This window comes from Homo sapiens, chromosome 12, assembly GCF_000001405.40.
Source record: "Homo sapiens chromosome 12, GRCh38.p14 Primary Assembly".
Classification (NCBI taxonomy): Eukaryota; Metazoa; Chordata; class Mammalia; order Primates; family Hominidae; genus Homo; species Homo sapiens.
In genome coordinates, this window is record NC_000012.12 from 1837676 (window position 1) to 1860617 (window position 22942).

At 50.1% G+C, this 22942-nt stretch overlaps 1 protein-coding gene across 5 annotated transcripts in view, besides 1 other annotated feature; it reads right to left on the reverse strand.

The window, feature by feature from the left end:
• The window catches only part of CACNA2D4 (calcium voltage-gated channel auxiliary subunit alpha2delta 4), a 126690-nt gene that overhangs the window by 45713 nt on the left and 58035 nt on the right, over nucleotides 1-22942 (reverse strand). For 3 of the 5 annotated variants that reach the window (NM_172364.5, XM_047429897.1, XM_011521041.3), the window contains 8 exons: nucleotides 22470-22531; nucleotides 20902-20969; nucleotides 18509-18554; nucleotides 18337-18434; nucleotides 16276-16369; nucleotides 8919-9014; nucleotides 6727-6854; nucleotides 3064-3144 (listed from right to left, as the gene is read on the reverse strand). In NM_172364.5, coding sequence (NP_758952.4) covers nucleotides 3064-3144; nucleotides 6727-6854; nucleotides 8919-9014; nucleotides 16276-16369; nucleotides 18337-18434; nucleotides 18509-18554; nucleotides 20902-20969; nucleotides 22470-22531 — 673 coding nt within the window. Of the gene's footprint in view, nucleotides 1-3063; nucleotides 3145-5446; nucleotides 5712-6726; nucleotides 6855-8918; nucleotides 9015-16275; nucleotides 16370-18336; nucleotides 18435-18508; nucleotides 18555-20901; nucleotides 20970-22469; nucleotides 22532-22942 lie in introns of those variants that run through there. The other 2 variants (XM_047429899.1, XM_047429898.1) reach the window with 1 other exon arrangement.
• Nucleotides 6318-7274: an enhancer, noted in NCBI's record as "H3K4me1 hESC enhancer chr12:1953159-1954115 (GRCh37/hg19 assembly coordinates)". NCBI's record gives its function as "activates a minimal SCP1, AML or CMV promoter by ChIP-STARR-seq in naive H9 embryonic stem cells {active_cell/tissue: H9 hESC(naive)}" and the evidence as "EXISTENCE:reporter gene assay evidence [ECO:0000049][PMID:30033119]".

Genomic DNA, 22942 nt, shown 5'->3' on the forward strand with positions numbered 1-22942 from the left:
CAGCTCCATTCCATGGCAGAGCTGGGGTGTCCGCCTTCCCCAGGTGGTGATAAGTGTAGGGATGTTGCTCTCCTATAGCCCTAATAATTATAGCAGGGCCCAAGACAAGTCTTCCCGAGCCCCACTGCAGAAGCAAGAACGGGGCCCCTCTCAGGCCTGGCACAGGTCTCTGTCATGCTTATGTGTGTAATTCAAATGTCATGGTTCCCAGATAGAAGCCCTCAAAGGTCTGAAGGCTGGGCCTGTACTGAGGCTGACCTCTCAGGAGGGGAGAACTCTTGCAGCCCTGGCCGGCAGGAAGGGCCTCTGTGCAGGGGCTTGTGTACATTACAAGTCATGCTGGAAGAATGCCCGTCTGCTGGACAATCACTTGCCCGTTACAGCCCCATCCTGGAGCTTGACCTCATTCCTCGCCTAGGGCCTGGAGGACATGGAGAATTGAAAACAGATCCTGATCCAAAAGTTAGATCTCTGGAAATTTTGCAGTAGCTGTCTATAAACCACCTGCTTAGGGATGAACGCGATCTCTACTGGTCCGCTGCCCTCTGTGTGAGCCGGTGGTGTTATACACGGCAGTGACGCGCAGCCCGCCACTGCCCCCGTGGCTGGGCTGAGTGCCCGTCTCCTACCTTCCCCTCGAGCTCGGTGCGCAATCGTCACCATACAGCCCCCACCACAGACACCACACTCAGCAGGCCTGGCGCTCACACGCTTACAGTGCCAGCCGTTTCCAGGGACAGCAAATGAACCACCTACCCCTCCTTCAGCTACAGGCTCCAGCTGGCCCCAGGATCAGGGAGGCTGAGCCACAGGCCAGGGAGAGGAAGTGGCAGAAGGAGACCAAAAGAAAAATCATAATTGAAGTATCAGGTCTCCAGCACCCCATTCTTTTCCTCTGACATTCATGCACCCCAGAGTGTAAGAGCGATTGTCTGCAGTGAGTTAAACTGGAGGCACTGGGACACTGTTTCTATGGCAACCCCTCTCGGCTCTAATTCAGCTCTGAGTTAAAAATGCTATCAAATAATTGGAGAGTGCAGGAAAGCACAGCCAGCAGCCTGACCCCCTGTCCCATCCTTCCTAGACCTTCAGGTGTACAGGAGCTGAGAAGGCCCCCATCACGTGGGAGCAGCACAGGCGCAGGCTTGGCTGGGAGCACAGAACAGTCTGTAGGGAGACGATTTCGGAGTCAAAGTTTGGCCTGGAAATTGGGTCTGGGTTTAGTGTGCCCTGGGCCCAGGGAAGCACGGCAGCCAGGCGGGCACAAATCCCTTCCAAGTGCTGCAGGTGGCTGCATCGCACACGACCAGTGACACCGGGCTTCTACCCGGGCAATTTGGCAATGTCAGACGGAGCCATTCTCCCCCCGTCGCTTATCCCAGAGTGGCACACAGCCCAGGACCCCAACTCAGGATGGCCCTGGTGCCCTCTCTGAGGCAGGAAGACAGAGCCCAGCCGGCTCCTTTGCATTCCCTTTGCCCTGACCCTGTCTGCTCCGTCCCCATCCTGCTGCGAGAGTCCTCACCTGGCCAGGGCCTCGGTTACAAGGCAGGTGCCTGCCAGCTGCGTTCACGGAGCCAGGATGGCTGAGCTCGAATGCCTGTTGGATCGCGCAACTTTTCAGAACACAGCTGGGTCCCAGGTACTGAAGCTAAAACAAGGGTAAGGAGCGCTTCATCGCAGGGACCTGATCGTTCTCAGACAGCTAGGCAGAGACACCAAGGACTCTGCAGGCACGAAGAAACTGAAAGTCAGGAGAAGCTTGTGAGGGTCACAGTTGCTCTCATCATGTAAGCCATGGCAAACCGCAGCACAGGGCAGTGAACCTGGGTTCCAACGAGAGGCGGTCTGCGTTCAAATCCCAGCCTCATTCATTATTAGCTGTGGGGCTTTGGGCAAGTAAGTTTTCTGTGTCTCAGTCCCCTCAGCTGTAAAGTAGAGCCAGAACCATCGCCTTCACTGGGTCACCCCAAGGACCACATGGGAGGCAGTCCACAGTGCCCGGCACACGCTGAACACACACACTGAGCTCATGCCTCAGGGGTTCGAGTCACAGTCCCACTTCCCTCTTATACGAGACCCCAAGGCAATAGGAGACGGAGCAGGTAAGGGAATGGCACAGGAATCAGCATCCACTGTTTGCTCTATAAAGAGGCAGGGCATCTTGGTGGTTAGTAACACCTTTTGGGGGAAAAGACAGGTCTGGACTGAATTATGGCATCCGATCCCCGCTAGTTGGGTTGCTTTGAGCCAAACGTTCTGAGCCTATGGTCCTCATTTATAAAATAGGCACTGACAGTAATACCTACACTCTAAAATATTTGTAAAGGTTAAATCAGTTAATACTGCAAAAGAGCTTTCGCAAGCTTTAATGTTTAGGCAAATCAGTAGGCATCTCAGTAAAGCGCACTCTGGTTGAACAGGTATGGGCTGGAACCTGAGACTATGTGTTTCTAACAGAGGCCCACGCAATTTCAGCGCTGCTGGTCTTCAGGTCATCTTTTCAACAGCAAAGTTTTCAAGAAGTTACCACACTGTAAATACTCGGTAAATATTAGCTTTATGATGATGACGATGATTGATAAAAGACCTAGAATAAAAGAGCTCTGCCCGCCAGCCTTTCTTTCAGCTACAGAATGCCTCAGTAATGCTCTATTAACCCGCCAGCCTTCCTTTCAGCTACAGAATGCCTCAGTAATGCTCTATTAACCCGCAGGAAGTGTTTCTCAAGAGAAGCTTGCATACGGTAAATATATTATGTGGAAGAGGGGGGTGGGTGGGGGGCGGCGGGGGGCTGGGCTGCAGTCTCTGTTCCGTGTGGCCGTGCAGATCTCCTAGCCTCTCTGGGCTTCATTTTGCTCACTTCGTGAATACTTTCACATCCAAAGTTTTATGGTTTTACAAATGAAATGGCTTAGGAAGAGTGCACTTCCACCCATCCCACATTCCACCGGCAGGACTGTGGCCCTGGCCACATGTGCAGGGCCTTCTGCTGTGATCTATGCCTTGCTCTTTACACTGTCCCCAGCTTCCTGGCCTCAACACCACAAGGGCCGTTCCTACCTGCAGCAATGGCTGTCCTCTTGTCCACGGTCACCGCCACAGCTGTGCTTGCCGTCACCACCATGGGTTCACCCGCACTTTCTGGGGAAACAGAGACAACCCAGTCATGGGGAAGAGCTGTGGTTGGGGCAGGTGGAGCGCTACCACTTTCTTGGAATAGGAGATGGGAATAAAAGCAGGCGAAGGCATCCTTGGAAGAATTGAGGCGAGGGTGGGGACAGGGGTTGTGTTTGGAGAAGTTGCTGCTGTGATGGTGACCCCAACACGGGTCTTGGACAGACACACACATGGCCTCTGGCCGCCAGCACAGTGCAGGGCTGCAGTGGCCCCACGACACTGGGGTTTCTGCGTGTTTGTCGGCTGCGGCATGCATTTTGCCCACAACACCTGTGTTGTATCCAGTGATCCCTTCCAACGGCAGGAAGGACAGGCTGCATTTCAGCACTGGGTGGTGGGTGATCCTGGATTGCTCTCTGTGAGTCTGCGTGAGTCAGGGAGGACGCCGACAGTCAGTCCCAATCAGGAAGCCAGATGCCACAGCCGAGCCACCATGCGGCCCTGGGCAGCGAGATGACGGACCCTCCACTGCACAACCGCTCTCCGGGTCTTTCACTTGCTTCTCAGCTGTTGCTCCACTTCTGGGACTCTGCAGCAACTCAGGGCAAGTCCTGAGGCTCCTGAAGGCCACAGGGCTTGCCTCGCATTGCTCTCTCCACTTCTTCTGGAACAATCAGGCCACCATAGGTGCACAGTTTAGAGGGCAGTTTCAGCTCCACATTGAAACAGAGCTTTCTGGTTCTGACTGGGGCTGGCTACTTCGGGGCCTCAGGCTTCTTAATTCTCATCAGTCCTTGGCCCCGGACTTGAATTTCAAAGCACTCTTGTCTGCAGGTCAAATGCAGACTCAACTTCTGAGAAAGGGGCAAACAGTTTCTGATGTGCTATCACATTTTGTTAGAATGTCTTGATGTCAAATGTTGCCTGAAGCAAACAGGTCATGGGACTCTTGTGTGGCGATTATGACAACAGTGTCAATTGTCCCGGGACTTAACCACCAGCTTCTCACATCTGCCACGTCACCAAGATTACCCATCACACCCGCTGTCGTCAAATATCTCAAGAAACCTAAAACTGCAGTCTGATTCCAGGAACTTCCAATATGTAAGGTTGTCCTTGATTCTAGAAATTTGCCCCATGATGACGAAGGGACAATTCCCCACCTTGTGTCTACAGACATCTCGAAGGTGGTGATGTGGCAGCCCCGACAATATTCCCTGGGTCCCACAGCCCATTTTCTGGGACAGACCTTCCGTCGCATTTGTACCCCAGCCAGCAGAGGCTTGTAGGAAACGCAGATGTGAGCATGTGGAGACCCTAATGAGGCAGTCTCTGGGGACATCAGGGATTTCAGTGCCTGGCTCACCGTGGCTACCTGGCCCAGCACCTGGTGGGAATGATCAGGGCGTGGAGTGCAGAAGGGGGCGGGGCCCAGGGAGAGGTGGGCTGTGGGCATATTTCTGAGGCTCTGCTGTGTGCGGACAGGTTTCTAGGCACTGACTGCACAATGCAGCTCCACGTGGTCGGGACTTAGCCCACCAGGCCCCGGCAAAGGGCAACCATGTCAGCCTAGAGAGACAGGCGAGCTTCCCCTCACCCTGGAGGCAGCTCGTCCTCTTTTCCCCCTTGAAACGCGGTTGTTTTCCTTCTTTTGGGGTGGAAGGGAGTGTGCAGAGGTGGCCATGTGTCTAAGCGTGTGTGTGCGCTGAGCGAGTGAGTGGGCTGTGGAGAGGAAGTGGGCCCCGCCTCCCTCCTCACCAGGCCCCCTTTTTGGGCTCCAGCTTCCCTCTTTTCTCCTCGTGGCTCAGCTTCTCACCCACCCACCCTCCCACCTCATCACCACATAAAGCTCCCCCAGCAGCCAGCAGGCTCAGTCCTGGTGAATGCGGGCAGGAGGGGACCTGTCATCAGGGCCTGGGGCAGGGGCTGGGGCCTCATTATAGAACCTCTCCAGGGGCCTGTGGGTGCCCTCCCTGGGGAGCCCAATGTGCTGCTATCGAGGGTGTGGCCACAGAGGAGGAGCTGCCTCTTTCAGCCTTGGGGTGGACGGTGTGGGAAGGGGTCTCCCCTTTGCTTCCAGAGCCTTCCTGCTGGGCTTGCACTGGTAATAAAAACTCCCCCTCCCTCTTTCCTTACATTCAGTGTGGTAACGGGGCCTGGGCTTGGATTAGGGCAGAGCTTGGCTCTGTGGCTCCCTTGCTGTGTGACCCCGGGCAAGTTACAGAACCTCTCTGAGCCTCACGTTCTCCTTGTGTAAGTTGAGGGATAATGACGGCACTTATCTCATGGGGTTGTCTAGATTAAATGAAAAACACGTGGAAAATTGTTTTGTGAAGCATAGTAGTTATTTGCACGTGTGTGGAGGGAACAGCACAGGTGGGAGTAGGGGCATAGCACCAGGTGAGGAAGGCGGGATTCCGGAGGGGGCGGGGTGGAGCTCCTCCCTGCTGTTTGCCTTCCCTGTCCTGGTCCCAGGAGGATCCCCGGGATCCTGGGCCTCCCCAGCCATCAGCTCCAGGACATTTTTCCATCACGACGCTTGAGGATGGTTTGGCAAAGTGGTGGTGGAAGGCCTTTGGCAGAAGGGCGTCCTAAAGGGGAAGTTCTGAGTGACCCCAGCCCTGACTTTCCTTTTAGAAGTCTCCACACTCCTGCATCCCCTCCTGGGGCTCACCCCACCTGCCTGTGCACACTCTCCAGGCCCCTGGATCCATGTGCTGGAATGGGATCAGCCGCCCCAGCACTCACCTGGTGGAGGGGTGGTGGAGGGGTGGCTGTGCCATGCACTCTGGGATCCCTGGACAAGCCCCGGAAGCTCCCTGGGCCACAGTCACTTCGAGTGTAAATCAAGAGCACCAGGCTATGCAGACACTGAAGCCTCTGCAGGATTTTTCCGGTGCTCTGTTAGAGTCACTTAATTTTTCTTATTTTGGTTATTTTCCAGAATGGGGGCTGGGGCTGGCTGGCAGTTGGGTGCCCATCAACTCTGAGAGTCTTCCTGGTCCCTGGCCGTGCAGGGATTTTGTGGTTGCCTCATACCCCACCCTCCCCACCACCTGCCTGGCACAGCCTCTCTCTTGAGCTGAGAGGGGCTTGTGGAGAAGGCTGGGAGCTCCCTGAGGCTGGTCCTGGGTGGTCCTGGGTAACTGGGGACGGGTTGCTTTCTTTCTGTTTGGGAAGAGCAGGGCAGCCCCACTGACTTAGTGAGTACTGCAGCCCCTAATGAAACCACCCGTCTGGGTGGTTTATGAAGCTTTCACAGACATGCAGGATAAATAGAAGAATCTTAGAGATGGACTCTTCTGATCTCATATTTGGAATTGGGGCTAGAATCCCATGCTGGGTTTTTAAACTCCAACTTTGATGGCTGGCTAGGGAATCAAATGATCAGGCTCACCTTCAGCGTGGGACCTGTGGTGTGGGAAGGTGCCAATGAGCTTTTTTAAGTCACTAATGCATGCAGGAGGGAAGGCAGGAGGGGAACCCTGGTGGTCTGGACATTCTATTCCATATCTCGTTCCCATTTCCCACTAAGAGCACAGCAGGAGGAGAGATGAGACTGGCCTGAGACTGGCCCAGCCCCGGGAGCACCGGGCTGTGTGTTACCTGGTCCTTCTGCCCAGCGGAGGTTGAAGACGAAGCTGCCAGCAGGATGCTCTGAGGCCTGGCGGTACCACAGCGGGAAGCGGTCCAGGGTGAACACGCTGGCCTCGTCCTCAGGTGTCAGGAACTTCCTGCAAGGAGGAAGATGTGGTACCTCTCCCCAGATCTGTGAACACAGTCATCACTCTTTCCTTTTCTCACACAAGGTCAACTTGGCTGGGCTAAGAGAGTGATTTTAGCCCCTAAATTAGTACGGCCCCAGACAATGCTTCCCAGCAATTCTCGCCTTTTCCAGAAACAAAACGATGTCATGTTGCATCTAGCTAGCAGCTGGAAGAGGCATAGGGTCTGTAGAGTGAGGGGATACTTTCCATTTTTATGTAAACTCTTTTGCCTGCAGGGATTCTTTCTTTTGGATAGAGCCCAATTTCTTCTTGTCTGGCTCGTTGGCACGTCTGAGGGAGGAAGCTGTAGTCAGCTCTATCACTGCACTAATAGGAGGGCATCAATCCCCCCAAATGGTTCCTTCAACAGGATTGCCTCTAGGTTTTTGCATACATTATGAGTTTCCTTTTTTTGAGCAGCTTTACCTTGCTAATTATGGTTTTGCATTCCCTGAACACACGGCAGCCCACAGAAGGGAGTGTTCGGCCAGAAGCAGAGTGGGAGGCAGGGAGAAGCAGGGTGGGGGTGGGGAGCAGACATTGCTGTGGATAATCCACAAGGTGGATAACTGAGATTTGGTTTTGAGAGTGACGGGCTCACATGTACCAGAAGCAACCTGCCTTGTGACACAGTTCCTGGGCTGCCATTCACCTCGAGTCTGGGTGAAGGGAGCCCCTGGGAGTGCTCGCAGGAGGCAGAGGCACTGGGAAGGTCTGTCTGCCTCGAATCTCCTGCTTCCAGTCTTAGAAGCCTCTGAGAGGGGGCGAGGGAAGGGTCAGGGAGGCAGTGGTGCTCTGCCTTCTCCACCTCCGCAGGGATGGGTGGGGGGGAGGAGGGGAGGGAGGAGGGAGGGAAAGGGAAGAGCAACTTAATTTGTTTTCCTAGAAAGCCTCAGCTTTGCTTAGCAAGTGTGGATTTGTCACAGAGTCCTGGAAGAAGCTCAAAGATGGCGCTCCGTGGCTGGGCGTGCTTAGCGAGAGGAGCAGCTGGCGGGTGGGAGGCGAGGAGAGTAGGGTCAGGTCGGCTCAGGGGCCCTGGGCTGCTCTCCAGGTGCCTGAAGGTCCTCACCTGTTGGAGTCTCCTGGGTTGCGAAGCGGCAGGTGGCACCGCTCGGCCCCTAACCCCTCCTCTGGGCTCCCATCCTCCCTTGAGCACCCGGGTGGGCCAGCCCCTGATTCCCCCAGAACCCAGCCTTGGCTTAGAGCAGGGTTTCTCAGCCTTGGCACCGGTGACATTTTGTGCCAGGCGATTGCTGTGAGGGCTGCCCTGTGCATCATGGGATGTTTAGCAGCGTCCTGGCCTCCACCCACTAGGTGCCAGTAGGAAGTTCTCTGCCTCCCACAGTGTGACAACCAAAAGTATCTCCAGACATCGCTGAATGTCACAAAATCACCCCCAGTTGAACATTCCTGGTGTGGAGGCCTAAGTCTTCCATGGCCTACAGGGAGCTGGGCCTGGACTCCTACCAGGTAGAGTAAGAGACCGCAAATCTCCCACACCAAGGTGGGAGTGGGTGGCTCAAGAAGGCACTGCGGGGTGAGCACTCCATCTACCACAGGGCCCCAGCAGCACCTCCTCTCCCCTTAGGAGTGGGGAAAAGAGACACAGCCAGAAGATTCAGCCTGTCACACAGAGACCAGCCCAGAGAGGAAAGCAATTTCGGCTTTGTCCCTTAGAGATTCCTCTAGGTGGATTCTCCGACCAACCCTCAACTTCAAAGTCTCTCCCTGACTGGTCCGGCCTCCATCCTGTTCTAGGGACCCACCACCAGGATGTGTAAGCCTTCGGGGAAGGGTTGCCTTTCCCACTGTCCCAATCTGTCAATCCCGATCCGTAAGCCTTCGGGGAAGGGCTGCCTTTCCCACTGCCCCAATCTGTCAATCCCGATCCTTCTGCCCTGCTGGGCTCCCAGGGGTCCAGCATGCTGGAGACCCGGTGCCAGTCCACCCATGGCCCAGGAACACACCATGGGACTCTGGCCCTCTCTGCCCTGCAGGGATTGCCCTCCCGAGGTGGCCGGCCCAACCCACCTGTCGGAGACCTTCTCGGAGCCCACGAACAAGCTGCTTCTCAGGAGGCCAGCCCGGGTGCCCAGGAAGGCCATGTCCACCACGTGTTCAGACTCCCTGTGTGGCAGACAGAGCGGGAATGGTCACCACATGGCTGTGGCAAGAGCTTGGGGGCGACCTGCAGGGGTTTGGGGGCCTCTCCTTGCTCCTGCCTGGCCTGGCTCAGGGAAGACTTTCCAGGAAGGCTGGGTTCCTGGGAAGGGGCCGGGACACGCACCCTGCTGGCATCCACGGTGCCCATCAGGTTTCAGGCCCGGCTTCCGGGCAGCACCCCTGTGAAGTGAAGCCCTGGGCCTCTGCCTCTCTGCCTCGGCAGATCTAGCTCTTAATTTGTTCTCCTGGCTTTTGGGGAGTTCGATCTAGAAGATGGAACTTGGAAGGGAGATTCTGTCCTGGGACCTAAGGAACAGGAACTTCTCATGCCCAGCACGTACCAGGCACCTCCTGGTCTTACAGCCCTCCTCATACTTCCCTTCTTACCGAAACGTGAAGGGAGGGGGAGCAGGCACTGCATACACCCACCCAGGAGAAGTCCCAACGGACCTCATAACCTTGCCGTTGAGACTTGAAAGAAGACAGATCCATGAGCTAGTTGGCGTCACATATCTCCCTCCCAGTCTCAAAGCCACAATACTTTGACCAGGGTGGGAAGTCATCTCTTTTGACCCAGATGATATTCTTGTCTTTGGCACAGTGGATAGGAGGCTATTACCTAGTTCCTCTCCATGCCCAAGGGTGTGTGCTATAGTGAGCATACAAAGTAGGCAATTCCAAAGCACTGCCAGGCTCAGAGGCTGGACTGCGGGGGTCTTCCTCATGGATAGACCTGTGTCTGTGGGTGGTACCCGGGACTGTAGTAAGGTCTGGAAAATCACTGAGGGAAAGGGTCTCCCCCACCTACTCCAGTCCTGTAGCCAGGGGGCTTGTACAGGGTGGGCATGGGAGTCATAGGACTCGAGCTGCACAGAGCCCTGCCCCAGACCTCTGAGTCAGACTCTCTGGGGACAGGGCCTAAGCTCCCCTAAAGCTTCCTGATTCAATTCTCTGTGTAAAAGCAGAGAGAATGGGCTAATGGGTCTCACTACCCATAATTTGGCTTCAACAATCACCAACCCGGGGCTGGTCTCAATTCAGCCACTGCCTCCTCCAGCCCCTCAACTAGATTATTTTGAAGCAAATCCCAGATATTTCATGGGTAAATATTTTAATTTATACAATCAAAATAGAAATAACATTTAAAAAAACTTCGATGCCATTATTACACCTTAAAAAAACCTGACAATTCATTAATATGATCAGATAATCCAGTCGCCTCGCGAATTTTTTTAAGTTTGGCTGAATCAGAATCTGCCTAAGGCTCACGCATGGCAACGGGTATCTCTTATTTGTCTGTCTGTCTCTCTCTGTCTTTATTGAGATATCGTTCAAATACCATCCAATTCACCCACCTAAAGTGTGTGATTCAATAGTTTTTCATGTATTCACAGAGTTGTGCCACCGTCAGCACTGTGAATTTTAGAACATTTTCATCACCCCGGAAAGAAACCCCATAACCATTAGCAGTCATCTTTGGCCTCCTTTAACCTGATTCCCTTTCTCTCTCCACTCTCCCTCTCCCCTTCTCTTTTCCTTGCAATCGATGTGTGGAACAAACAGAGCGACAAAGGGCGCTTGCCTGTGGGGATTCTCCGGTTCTGGCCTTGGCGGATTGCCACCCTGGGGTGCTCTTCAGCCTGCTCTGTGTCCCCTGCATTGCCTGTCAACTGGCCGTGAGACCTCAGGGCCTGACCGGGTTCCGGTTTGTGTTTTTACAAGGCTGTTCTTCACAAGAGGCACACACTCTGACTGATTAGGGCATGAAAAATACATGCATTCTTTTATTTCTTATTTTATTTTTACCCGAAATATCTGTATAAGGAAAAACTTCTCCTCATCAATATTTAGTTATCCTGAAGTACAACTTTTATAGAAGAGGCAGGATAAATAATTTATTCTTTTTGTTTCTTTGTTAGGTTTTAGAATAATGAGTTGCTTTCCTAACAATCTTCCAAAGATGGCCAATGAGGTTTTTTCCAGTATCATTATGAACCCAAGTATTTTAATATATTTCATATGTTTTAACCCATTGCAATTATTATTATTATTATTATTTTTATTTAAAGACAGGTTCTCACTACGTTGCCCAGGCTGGCCTTGAACTCCTGGGCTCAAACGATCCTCTCGCCTGAGCCTGCCATGAGGCTGGGATAACAGCCGTGCCTCCACAGCCAGCTCCTGCTGTGATTATAATTACTTTTGCTGCTCTGATCATCCACCTTTGGCCAGTGAGGGCCTCCTCCAGCTGGCTCTGGGGTCCCTTGGGCACAATATCATTTGTCTTTGGTAACTTCTTGCTTCCTCATACGACAAGATGTTCCAGGTTCATTGTGCGTATTTCCTGCCCCTGTCCTGGAATCAGACATTTCTTCTAGGATCATGGGCTCATTTTAAAGAGGACTGACATTGAAAGTCCGAAGTCTGGGGCTGGGGCACTTGCTGCGGTGGGCCCTTTCAGGGGAGAGAGCTAGGATATCCTTTTAATTTCTTTAAGAGAAATACATCATGAGTTCAAATTGATATTTCTAATTCAAATTTAGCATTCCATCTAATCTTAACTTCTCTGATTTTTGAAATTTGCATATCTCTTTTCCCTTTTGCTGAAGATCTTGGTTCTTAATGACATTAATATAATACAATTTGCTCTCTCTATTCAGAATAACAATGCCAATACTATTTCTAGCAATGTGATTACTGAGGACTGCTTAACATTTTATTTATTTAGTGTTTACAATTCTAAAGCCCCTTGAAAGAATTCCCGTATGTTCGATTATTTAATGAACTTGATATATGGCTAGGTTTAGCTGTTTCATTTGCTTTCAATTACTACAGGTTACTTTTTAAAATTTAATTTTGTTTTATGATTAGATAAAGCATTTATATGGTTCCAAAGTCAATATGGAGAATAAGGCCTATTCAGGGGAGTCTGTCTCTGTATCCATCTCCTTGTTCCTTCACTCTTCCTGTAGGTAACCTGACTTTTGGTTCCTTGTTCCACTAAAAAGTACGTGTGTGTATGTGTACATACATATACGCATGTACATTTATATGTACCTTTGTGAAAGTAATTATGAAAATATATTTGTATTTTCTCTTTCTAGATAAGCAGTGGAGATATTATTCATACTTTTTTCATTACTGAAGATGATTTCATAGTGGCAGTATATAGAGATATTCTAATTTTTCACAGCTGCATAGAATTCCATTATGTGGATCCACCATGATTTATGTAACTAGGCTCCCACTGATGAACGTTTGGGTTGTTTCCAATCTTCTATTGTTATTAAAGGTGCTATAATGAGCAGCTCATAGGTACATTTTTTTCATATTTTTGCCAGTGTATCTTTGGGATAAGGTTCCTAGAAGTGAGGTTGCTGGGTCAAAGTGTAAATGTACATGAAATTGTGCTAGACGTCATCAAATTCCCCTCGACGGGGTTTGAAACATTTCGTATCCCACCCACAATCTACGAGTGCCTGACTCCCCACAGTTCTGCCAACAGTGCACACTGACAAGCTCAGGTGGCTTTCAGTCTGAGAGGCGAGAAGTCCAATCTGGGCATAGTTGTCATTTGCATTTCAGATTACATGTTAGGTTGAGCATTGTTTTTCTTTATATTTTAAGACTATTTGAATTGTTCTTCTAAGGACTATTTGCATTTTTCCTCTGAACTGTTCGTATTTCTTGACTACTTTCCCTCTAAGGTAGTTGACCTCTTAAGTCTCAATTTTCAAAGTCCTTTGTCGTGAATACATAATATATAGAGTAACCCTTTATCTGTTTTATAAGTTGCAAACACCTTTCCAGTTTGTAATTTCTCTTTTTACCTTGCTCATGTTTTTATTTCTGCCATAGAAACATATTTTTTTCTTTTTTTTAAAAAAAGATGAGGTTGGCCAGGCGCGGTGGCTCACGCCTGTAATCCCAGCACTTTGGGAGGCCGAGGCAGGGGGATCATGAGGTCAGGAGATTGAGACCATCCTGGCTAACATGGTGAAACCCCGTCTCTACTAAAAATACAAAAAAATACAAAGAATTCACCAGGCGTGGTGGCAGGTGCCTGTAGTCCCAGCTACTCAGGAGGCTGAGGCAGGAGAATGGCGAGCTTGTGCCACTGCACTCCAGCCTGGGCGACAGAGCGAGACTCCGTCTCAAAAAAAAAAAAAAAAAAATAGATGAGGTCTTGCTCTGTTGCCCAGGCAGGAGTGTGGTGACATGACCATGCCTCATTGCAGCCTCCACCTCCTGGGCTCAAGTGATCCTCCCTGAGCAGCTGAGTAGCTGGGACTGCAGGTGTGCACCACCACATCTGGCTAAGTTATTATTATTTTTATTTTAGAGACGGGGTCTTGTCATTTTTCACAGGCTGGTCTTGAACTTTCAGGCTAAAGTGATCCTCCCACCTGAGCCTCCTGAGTGGCTGGGACTACAGGCACGAGCCACTACACCCGACCACAGAAACATTTTTAATGTTGTTAAATTTATCCGTCATTCCTTTATTGCTTCTGAATTTTGAGTCATTGTTGGGAAAGGTTTCCCCACTCCTAGATTTTAGAGCAATTGGCTCATGTTTTCCTTTAGTATTTATATGGCTTCATTTTTTACATTTGAATCTCTGAGTCATTTGGACTTCGTCCAGGTGTATGGTGTGAGAAAAGAACATAATTTTATCATTCTCCATATGGCTCTCAAACCGGTTATTTAAAAATCCATCTTTCCTTCATTGATTTGACAGGATGCCTCTGTCATAGACTAAATTTTCACATGCATTTAGATGAGTTTCCGGATTTCCTTTTGGGTTCCTGTGGTCTGCCTGCCTTTTCTTGTGCCAATACCATACTTTATAAACCTCAGAGGCTTTGTCATGTGTTTTAATATCTTGGTAGGCCCAACCTCCCTTCTTTGCTTTTTTTGGTGTGTGTTTGTGTGTGTGTGTGTGTGTGTGTGTGCGTTTTTTTTTTTTTTTTCCAGAGATTTCCTGGTTATTCTTGCTTGTTCTTCCAAATGAACTTGATAATCAGTTTATCTAGATGCAGAAAAAGACTGACGGTGTTTTCATTGGGGTTAACATTAACTTAGGGAGGATTAATATCTTTATGATGTTGAAGTCTCGTATCCAAAAACACTGTCTTTCCATGTGTTCCAGCCTCTACTTTTGTGTTTTCAGGAGTGTTTCATAATTTTCCTTATATAGGTTTTTGAACAGTTCTTATAGTTTATGTCGTATGTTCTTGTAGTCTTATAACTTTATCATGTATTATTTCTTGCCTTTTAAAATAAGCCTTCTCATATCTTCTATCTTTTTTGTGTGTAGATAAAGGCTATTAATTTTTGAATGTTGATATTATAACCTGCTATTTTACTAAATTCTCTCATTGGGTATAGTAATTTTCTTATTAATTCTTCTGGGGTTTCCAGATATATAATTATGTCATCTTTAAACAGCGACAATTTTACTTCTTTCTTTCCAATTCTAATTGCCTCTGCTTGCTTTCTCTTGTCTAATTCCTTCTGGCCTTGTTAAATAGCAATGGGGAAGTAGGCATGCTTGTCTTGTTCCTGTCTTTAGTGAGAGAGCCTCTAGCCCCATTAAGATGTTACTTTCATGCTTAGGTCAATTTTAATTCTACTGAGTGGCTTTAATGAACAAGAATGGTATGGCTGGGCATGGCAGCTCATGCCTGTAATCCCATCACTTTGGGAGGCTGAGGTGGGAGGGTTGTTTGAGGCCAGGAGTTCAAGACCAGCCTGAGCAACATAGAGAGACCCCCATCTCTACAAAATTTTTTTAAATGAATGAATATTAATATTTATTTAATGCCTTTTCTATATCTTTGGAGATGGTTATGTATTTTTTTCTCCTTAACTGTATGCTATTTTATATTAACTTCCTAGGAAGTCTTTTCTGAAGCATGCTCTGGTTAAGAATATTTCCTTCTCAATATTTCTCCACATTAAAAATCATCACTGACTAATCTCTGAGGTTGGAAAGATGAAGATGGTGCCCCTCTCCAAACCTATTTGCTCCAGCCCTCTGTAGAAGGCACAACAGTGCAGGGTTTAAGAGTCGGGGCGCAGGAGTGAGGCTGCCTGCTGTTGATTCCAGCTCTGCCACTTTCGAGGCGTATGACCTCAGGCGAGTTGCTTGATCTCGCTATGCTTTGTTTTCCTCATCTGTCAAATGGCAGTAATGAGAGCTCCTGTGTGGGTGAGGACTGCGGTGAGGATCAAATGGGTTATATACACTAAGCACTCAGAACAGTGCCTGGCCCACTAGATTGTTTTTCTTTCTTTATTCTAATTTTGTATAGGTCATATATTCATATGGTTCAAAATTACACCAACATGTTAGGGTGAAAAGTGTCCCTTCCATCCCTGTTTCAGTTACCCATTTTCCAACCAGAAACAGCTAATGAGGAATGTTTCCTGAGTAGCCTTGCGTAGACAGTATACAGATCATAGATGTTATCTATATAATCCACACAAATACTATGGCACCCACTTTTTACAGAAAAGGTAGCGTACTATACTATGTAGAATGGTAGCATTCCACATCTTGCTTTTTTCAATAGGAGACTGTCCCTATAAAATTCTGTAGGTGTTTTTTATTAGGATAGCACTAAAAAACTAATTTTTAATTTTCTAGTATCTAATTATGTGCTTAAATTTATTGACTGTGTAGAGGAGGTTTGACATCTTCACAATGTTGAATCTTCCTATTCAGGAGCAAGGTATGACCCACTGCAACCTTAACCTCATTAATACCTTACTCTGCCCCCCAACACTCATGGGCACACACATGCCCTACACTCACACTCACATGCCACTCATCTTCTTTCTACCAGGCCACTAAACACAATAGTATCAGGAGAAGACCAGCAAAGGGAGCGAGGATTTCTAAGGGGCTGGGAAAACCGAGGTCAAGTTCATTGGTGCCATGACCTTACCTGCTGGAAACCTATTTGAACTGCTCTTTGGCCAGGGGCATTTTGGCCATTGAAGTCTCATGGCTGGAGTCCAACCCAGAGAAAGGAGCTGTCGGAATGGGACTATCCTGGGGTGGGGATTTAGTCCAGTGCCCAGGGGGACCTCCACTTAATCTTAGGCCAAAGGACGTGGGTTCTCTCCTGAGCCACCAGCCAGATGGTGAGAGGGGTCCCAACTTAGCCAAGGGAATTCTGGGGGCTGGTTGGGGCCTGGGAACCTGGGAACCTGGACCTACTCGGACATGTTGAGGGCCAGCGCTGTCCAGTAGGCTTCCATGGGGGCTGTCACCACCGCGTCAAACAGCACCTCCCGGACCAGCTCCTCGTCACCTGGGTGCAAAACATCAGGGAACCAGGCCACATGCTTCCTCCATGCTCATGAACACAACTCTCCCATCCTAAGTTCAGGGAGAAGATGTGCTTCCTGAACGTGTCTATGGGACATGTAAAACTATCTCTGTGAGCTTGAGGGAGCTGCCTCACCTCTGTCTGTCTTCACTTTCTCAACTCCAAAAAATATGTCAGTACAACAGCTTGATATCTGAGGCTCTTTCCAATTGTAACATCTGATGAACTTAGGAGACCCTCAGTGACCTCAGGTTGGATCTTCCCAGTCTCCCCCATCTCAACTCTTCCTCATCTGCTTCTTAACCATCCAGACACCTTGGCCTTTGGTCAGTTCTGTGAATTTTTTGTTGTTGTTGTTGTTGAGATGGAGTCTCATTCTGTTGCCCAGGCTGGAGTACAGTGGCATGATCTTGGCTCACTTCAACCTCCGCCTCCCAGGTTTAAGCAATTCTCCTGCCTCAGCCTCCCAAGTAGCTGGGACCACAGGTGCACACCACCACACCTGGCTAATTTTTGTAATTTTTGTAGAGACAAGGTTTCACTATGTTGGCCAGGCTGATCTAGAACTCCTGACCTCAAGTGATCTGCCCACCTTGGCCTCCTAAAGTGCTGGCATTATAGGCATGAGCCACTGCCCCTGGCCAGTTCTGTGAATTTGACCTTGCCAAGCTCCTCCTTACCTCAGAGCCCCTATACATGCTGTTTCCCTTGATCTGGATATTCTTTTTCCCAGTCTTTGCATGGAGGCTCTTTCTTTTTCTTCTCTCATTTAAAAAATTTATTTATCTTTATTGAGGTAAAATTCACATAAAATGAAACTGACCAATTTAAAGTATGCAATTCAGTCAGCGGCATTTAGTACATTCACAATGTTGTACAACCACCACCTCTATTTAGTTCCAAAATATTTTTATCACCCCCCAAAGGAGATCCTCCTCACCTTGGTGAGGAGGTGTCACAATAGAGCCACCCAAGTGGCTTAACAGGATCTCCTTTAAAGCAGGCCTATTTCTCTCCCCTACAGCATCCTGTTCATGGCGCTTATCACAATTTATAACAACCTATATCTATATATGTAGGCTTATTTGCTTATCACCTGGCTTCTCCACTAGAATGTAAGCTCCATGATAGCAAGGGCCTTGTCTGGGTTATCTCTGTAGCTCTAATACCTACCCCAGGGCCTGACACAGGGTGCAAGCTCAGTACAGATTTGTTGATGAAATGAATAAATAAGTAAGTAAGTGCCCTGTTGGGTTGGCATGGGAGGCAGTCTTCTTATGCGGGTGACAATTATGTGACAGGATGACCTGCTCTTTCTTCCAAAGAGGAAGAAGGAGGAGCAAGCTGAGGATGTGGCCTAATGAGCTCACCACTCGCATTAGTGCAGGTGAGAAGGCCATGTGACCATGGAGCAGAGACTGAAGTGTCACAGCTGCAAGACAAGGAGCACCTGGGGCTCCTAGACCTGGAAGAGGTGAGCAAGGTTAGCCTGAGGAACTGGTTTAGAAAACAGAGCCCACAGGCTTCGAGTCATCTGGCCAAATGCTCCCCTTGTGGAGATGAGGACTTCTGGTGAAGAGTGGCAGCCATTTGCCCAGAGGTCCACTTCTAGACAGTGGTAGGGAAAAAGATGACAGACTCTGAATGGTGCTTTCTCCTGACCCTTAACAGAGCTTGGTGGATAGAGGCTGAAAAAGATCCCAGTCCCTGACCTGGGGATCCATACATGTTACCACAGTTCCAAGGGTGCTTAAATACCAGCTCAGCCCTGTGGTAAGGCTGGCTATGCCTTTTTCTTTGGGAATCTCCCTGTTTGATCTAAGCCATCCATGTGCTAATGGGATAGGGCTGTGCAGCAGCCTCCCCCTGCCTTCCCACCTCTCCTGGCAAAGTCCTGAACTTCAGGGCCCCAGAGGAAAAGCTTGCCTCAGTGGGCGGCCAGCACTCACACTCCAGGTCTGGGTCCTTCCTGGTGAGGAAGCGGATCATGGCCTCTAGCTGGCTGAGCTTCCGGTGGTCTGGGTCAATATCTGTGATGCAGTAGATCCTGAAACCCAGGAAAGTCAGTGTTATCTCAAAACATTCCACCTGTCTCCCTCCCATTTTTTACTCCTCACTTACCAGTCACCGGCCAGGGCCAGGTCTGGGTGAAGCAAGTCATGCAGGCCTGAAACCAGAGTCCACATTCAGGGTGATGCTCCCTCACTGCCATGAGGGTGTGTGTCTCAATTGTAGAAACAGCCACCCAGTGAGTTTCTAAAGAAAGGGACTGGGGTCTGTTCTTTCTTGCTCTTAGCTCACAGTAGGAGAACATGGCTAAGTCTGCACAGGTCCCACCTCCTGAAATGCTTTCTTCTCATTGTTTCATGTCCAAATCCTACCCCTTCTTCAAGGTTCAGGGCAAATGCCATGCCTTCAATGAGCTGCCCAGCCAGTGGGAGCATCTTTTCCTCCTGCAGCCCTCATGCCCCTCCTCCCCATCCAGGTTGGATTTGGGTTATTATGGGCATGTAATAACCTTGTGCTTCTGCCAGACAGCAGCTCCCTGAGGAAGCTGCATCTTATTCCTCCTAGCATCTCCCTCAAAGGGAGGTGATACTTTGAAACCAGTGATTTTGGCTTCATTGGCTTCATCCCCAGGATGGGCCCTGTGTGTTTTGCGGCCTCTCACCTAACACAGAGCCAGCCTGATCTCATGCTCAGTACACGCTGTTGACTGAAAGAACGATGAGCTGATGCTCCATGGCACCTACTCAGAGCTAAGAAATGAACAGGTGCTCCACTGAGGGTAAGTCCAAGGAGGGGATGACAGAAAGGCCAGTGGGGCATCTGTGGAGCCTCACAAGGGCTGCTGCTCTGATGTAGACACAGGGCAAGCAGCTGGAAGGGGAGCTCCCTTGCCCACAGAAGACCAGGAGACTCCGGGATTCCAAGCCCCTGACCACTGGAATGTCTCACTCCCAGGAGTGGGTATAAGACAGCACCCTCTGTCTCCTGGAGGAGTGCACCCTGGGAATATCTGGGCAGAGGAAGAAATGTGTAGGAAGAAGGAAGAAGGCACGATGGAGGCCTAGGGATGATGGGGAACAGAGGAGAGTGCCCCAGTGCTAGGATCTGTGCTGTGGAAGGGCAGACACAGCTTCCAGGTGAGCACACAGCTAGTGCCTGACTCAGTCCAGGTGCGGGAGAGGGGATCTACCAGGGGCAGCTCCCAGACAGATGACAGCTAAGCTGGGGCCTGAGAGTGGGTCAAAGTGTGCTGGGAGAGGAGGGCACTCCAGGGCAGAGCAAAGCAGCCAGGAGGAGCAGGCCCATCAGCAGTGATGTGGGCAGACTTGGCATTTCTAGGAAGATCCCTCTGGCTGAAGCTCAGAGAAGAAAGGAGTCAGGGAGAACAGCTGGAAGCTACTGTGGTTGTCCACAAGAGAGGTGACAATGACCAGGATGGTTGTAGGAAGGCAGGGTGATGAGATGTACTCAGCAGATAGCAGAGGGTAGTATGTGGGTGTTAAACAGAAAGTGGCCACCTCTTCCAGGGGTTCCTGGGATATCTGTGACCCCTGAGATAGGTTGTGGTCTCCTAAGGTGATTGGGCCACAGTAAGTCACCGGCAGGAGGGATGGGGTTGGATGGGGCTCTTCTCTCCCCGCCTCCACCACTGTTCTCTGCCATCTCACTTTGGTTCGCATCCCATAAGCTCCAGGTATGGGCTGAATTGTGTCCCTCAAAAGATATGTTGAAGTCCTGACCTGTGAATGTGACCTTCTTTGGAAATAGGGTCTTGGCAGAAGTAATCAAATTAAGATGAGATCATTAGGATAGGCCCTGATCCCATATGAGTGGTGTCCTTATAAGAAGAGGTAATGGAGACAGTGAGAGGCAGCTGAGGGGAGAAGGCCACGGGATCAGGGAGCAGAGACTGAAGTGTGCAGCTGCAAGACGAGGAGCACCTGAGGCTCCTAGACCTGGAAGAGGTGAGCGAGGACTCCCCTGGAGGCTTTGTGGGGAGCACGGCCTTTCCAACACCTGACTTGGGACTTCCAGCCTCCAGAACCGTGAGAGAATACATGTCTGCGGTTTTAGGATGCCATGTTTGCGGTACTTTGTGCTGGGAGCCTTAGCAAATGAATACAGGCTTCCCTCCTCTTTCTGGCCTCCTTTCTCATCACCTTTGCAGTCACCTGGCAGGGAAATTTCAGCTTTGAGCTTTGTTTAAAAAACATACTGCCTTGACGGTCCTTCTAGTCCAGCAAGGCCTCCCGGAAACTAGCAGTGCGGTTGGCAGGTCTCAGGCTCTGCTGGTTTGACGACAGACCCACAGATCCTGCATGCCCTGGGAGCCAGGGACACACACGCCCCTCTCCACCTGGCAGCATTGTTCTGAGAGGCTGCTCTGGAGCCTGGGAGCTGGGAGGCTGTCACACTGGCTCTGGTTGGGGTTGGCCCTGCCCAGTGTCCCATGAGAGCCCATTATTTTCTGCTTAACTGTCCCTCAGCCCCTGGTACCGACCCACCTTCTTCCACAGACGTGTTCCCCAGAAGGATGTATTCTCCGTGGCCCCGGGACAGCACCACCCCCAAACTGTGGGGAGAGAAGAGAAGGCACTCATTCAGCAGCAGCAGATGCCGGCCTGTCTCCCGGGCCTCGTCCTTGCCCTTACCAACACTAGGTGTATGGGCTTTTTGTACCCACGACGAGTGGTGTGCTCCTCATGCCCCCTTCTTTACCTCTGGCCTCACAGCCATCCCCTCCAGAACGGAGGCGGTGCTTCCAATTTCCCAGAAGCCTTCCTTCCTAAGCAGGACCCTGGCCATTCTGTAGACCAAGAGCCCTCTCAGCTCCCATTTTCATCAAGGGACACCCTGAAACTCACAGGCATCCCCTAAAATGTAGAACAGTCTCTCTGTTTCACAGGGGGTCCCACAAACAGGAGCTCCTTTTCCTACCCGGTGAGTCCTGCTGTGCCTTCCTCTCCTTGGCTGAACATCAGTTTTGAGCCTTGGCTGAATATCTGACTTTCTTGGGGAACTTTAAAAGATGCAAGTGCATGGGCTCTACCCCCAGAAATTGTGATTAAATTGGTCTGGCCAGCCTGGGCAACACAGCGAGACCCCAGCTCTAAAATTTTTTTTTTAATCAAAAAATTAATGGGGTGTGGTGGCACGCTCCTGTACTGTCCCAGGTACTCGGGAGGCTGAGGTGGGAGGATCGCTTGAGCCCGGGAGGTGGAGGCTGTAGTAAGCTGTTTGTGCCACGGCACTTCAGCCTAGGAGACGGGGTGAGATCCTGTCTCAAAAAAAACTGGTTTTGGATGAAGCCTGGGCAGTGGCAACTTCACATAATTCCTCAGGTATTCCAATGAGCAGTCAGGGCTGGGAACCAGGGCTTTACGGAGAAATCAGATAATTCAGAGGTAACGACCACTTGTTTTCTAATCTGCCTAATACCTAGAGCCAAATATTTCTACAGTTGCACGGAACCTGAGATCTTCCAATTTGCTCTTCTCACTGCTTTAGGATCTTAACTGGATGATATCACTTAATCTTCACAACATCACCAAAAAGCAGCAGTTATTGTCACCCCCATTTTACAGATCGAAATCTAAGGCACAGAGAAGTTAAGTGAAACTCAAAGACCTGTTAACAGAGTTGTAGGAGGCAGAGGTGACGCATCAGTAAAGCAGGGAGTGCTGGACCTCAGAGCCTCTTCTCAGAGACAGGGCTAACCGCCCTCGGGGAAATGACCTGTTAAGGCAGCTTGGCTGCTGGACGCTGATGAGCAGTGAAATAACAACAGCATCTGAAGGGGCGGGGCTTGCCTGGGGCCCACAGGAGCATAGCACAGGACATACACTTGACCAAGTTTACACAGCCTGTAAATGGTAGAGCTGGGGTTCACGTCCAGGCAGTTTGGCTCTGGAACCTGCATTCTAGGCTACACTGGCAAAGCAGGTCTACACCTCAAGTTTCCTGGATGCTGACCTGGGTCTTTTGCTATTACCACAAAATTGCCAACTAAATATGAGTTGCTGGTATTCATGTTCAACCCTCACCCCGTGCAAATAAAGCCTGTGTCCCTCACCTGAAAGGGGTGTCGCTGATGTCCGTGAAGAAGTAGTCATTGGTCAGGAAAAGAACTCGCTTCTGAAAGAGTAGACAAGGAAAGAGTGCTCACGCAGAGAAGAGCGGCCCCCAGCCCCCACCTCGCCCCCAGGGCTCTTGGGGTCTTCATCGTCACTGTACAGTCCCTCCGCCTTCTTGTCTCCTCCCTGACCAGCCCCTACACACCTCATCCTAGTGACACCCATAGGCAGATCCTCTCTAGGTGCAGCAAACTGCAGCCCTTTGGGGCGTGGCCTGGATTTCAGGATCAAGGTCTGGACCTGCACTGCCCATCACGATAGCCCCTAAGCAGCACTGAGCACTTGAAATGTGTGGCCAAGGAACTGAATTTTCAGATTTTAGTTGGCATAAATTTAAACTTAGTTAGCACATGTGGCTAGCGGCTATATTGGGCAGTGCTGATGTAGACCATGACTCTATGGTTCCTAGAGG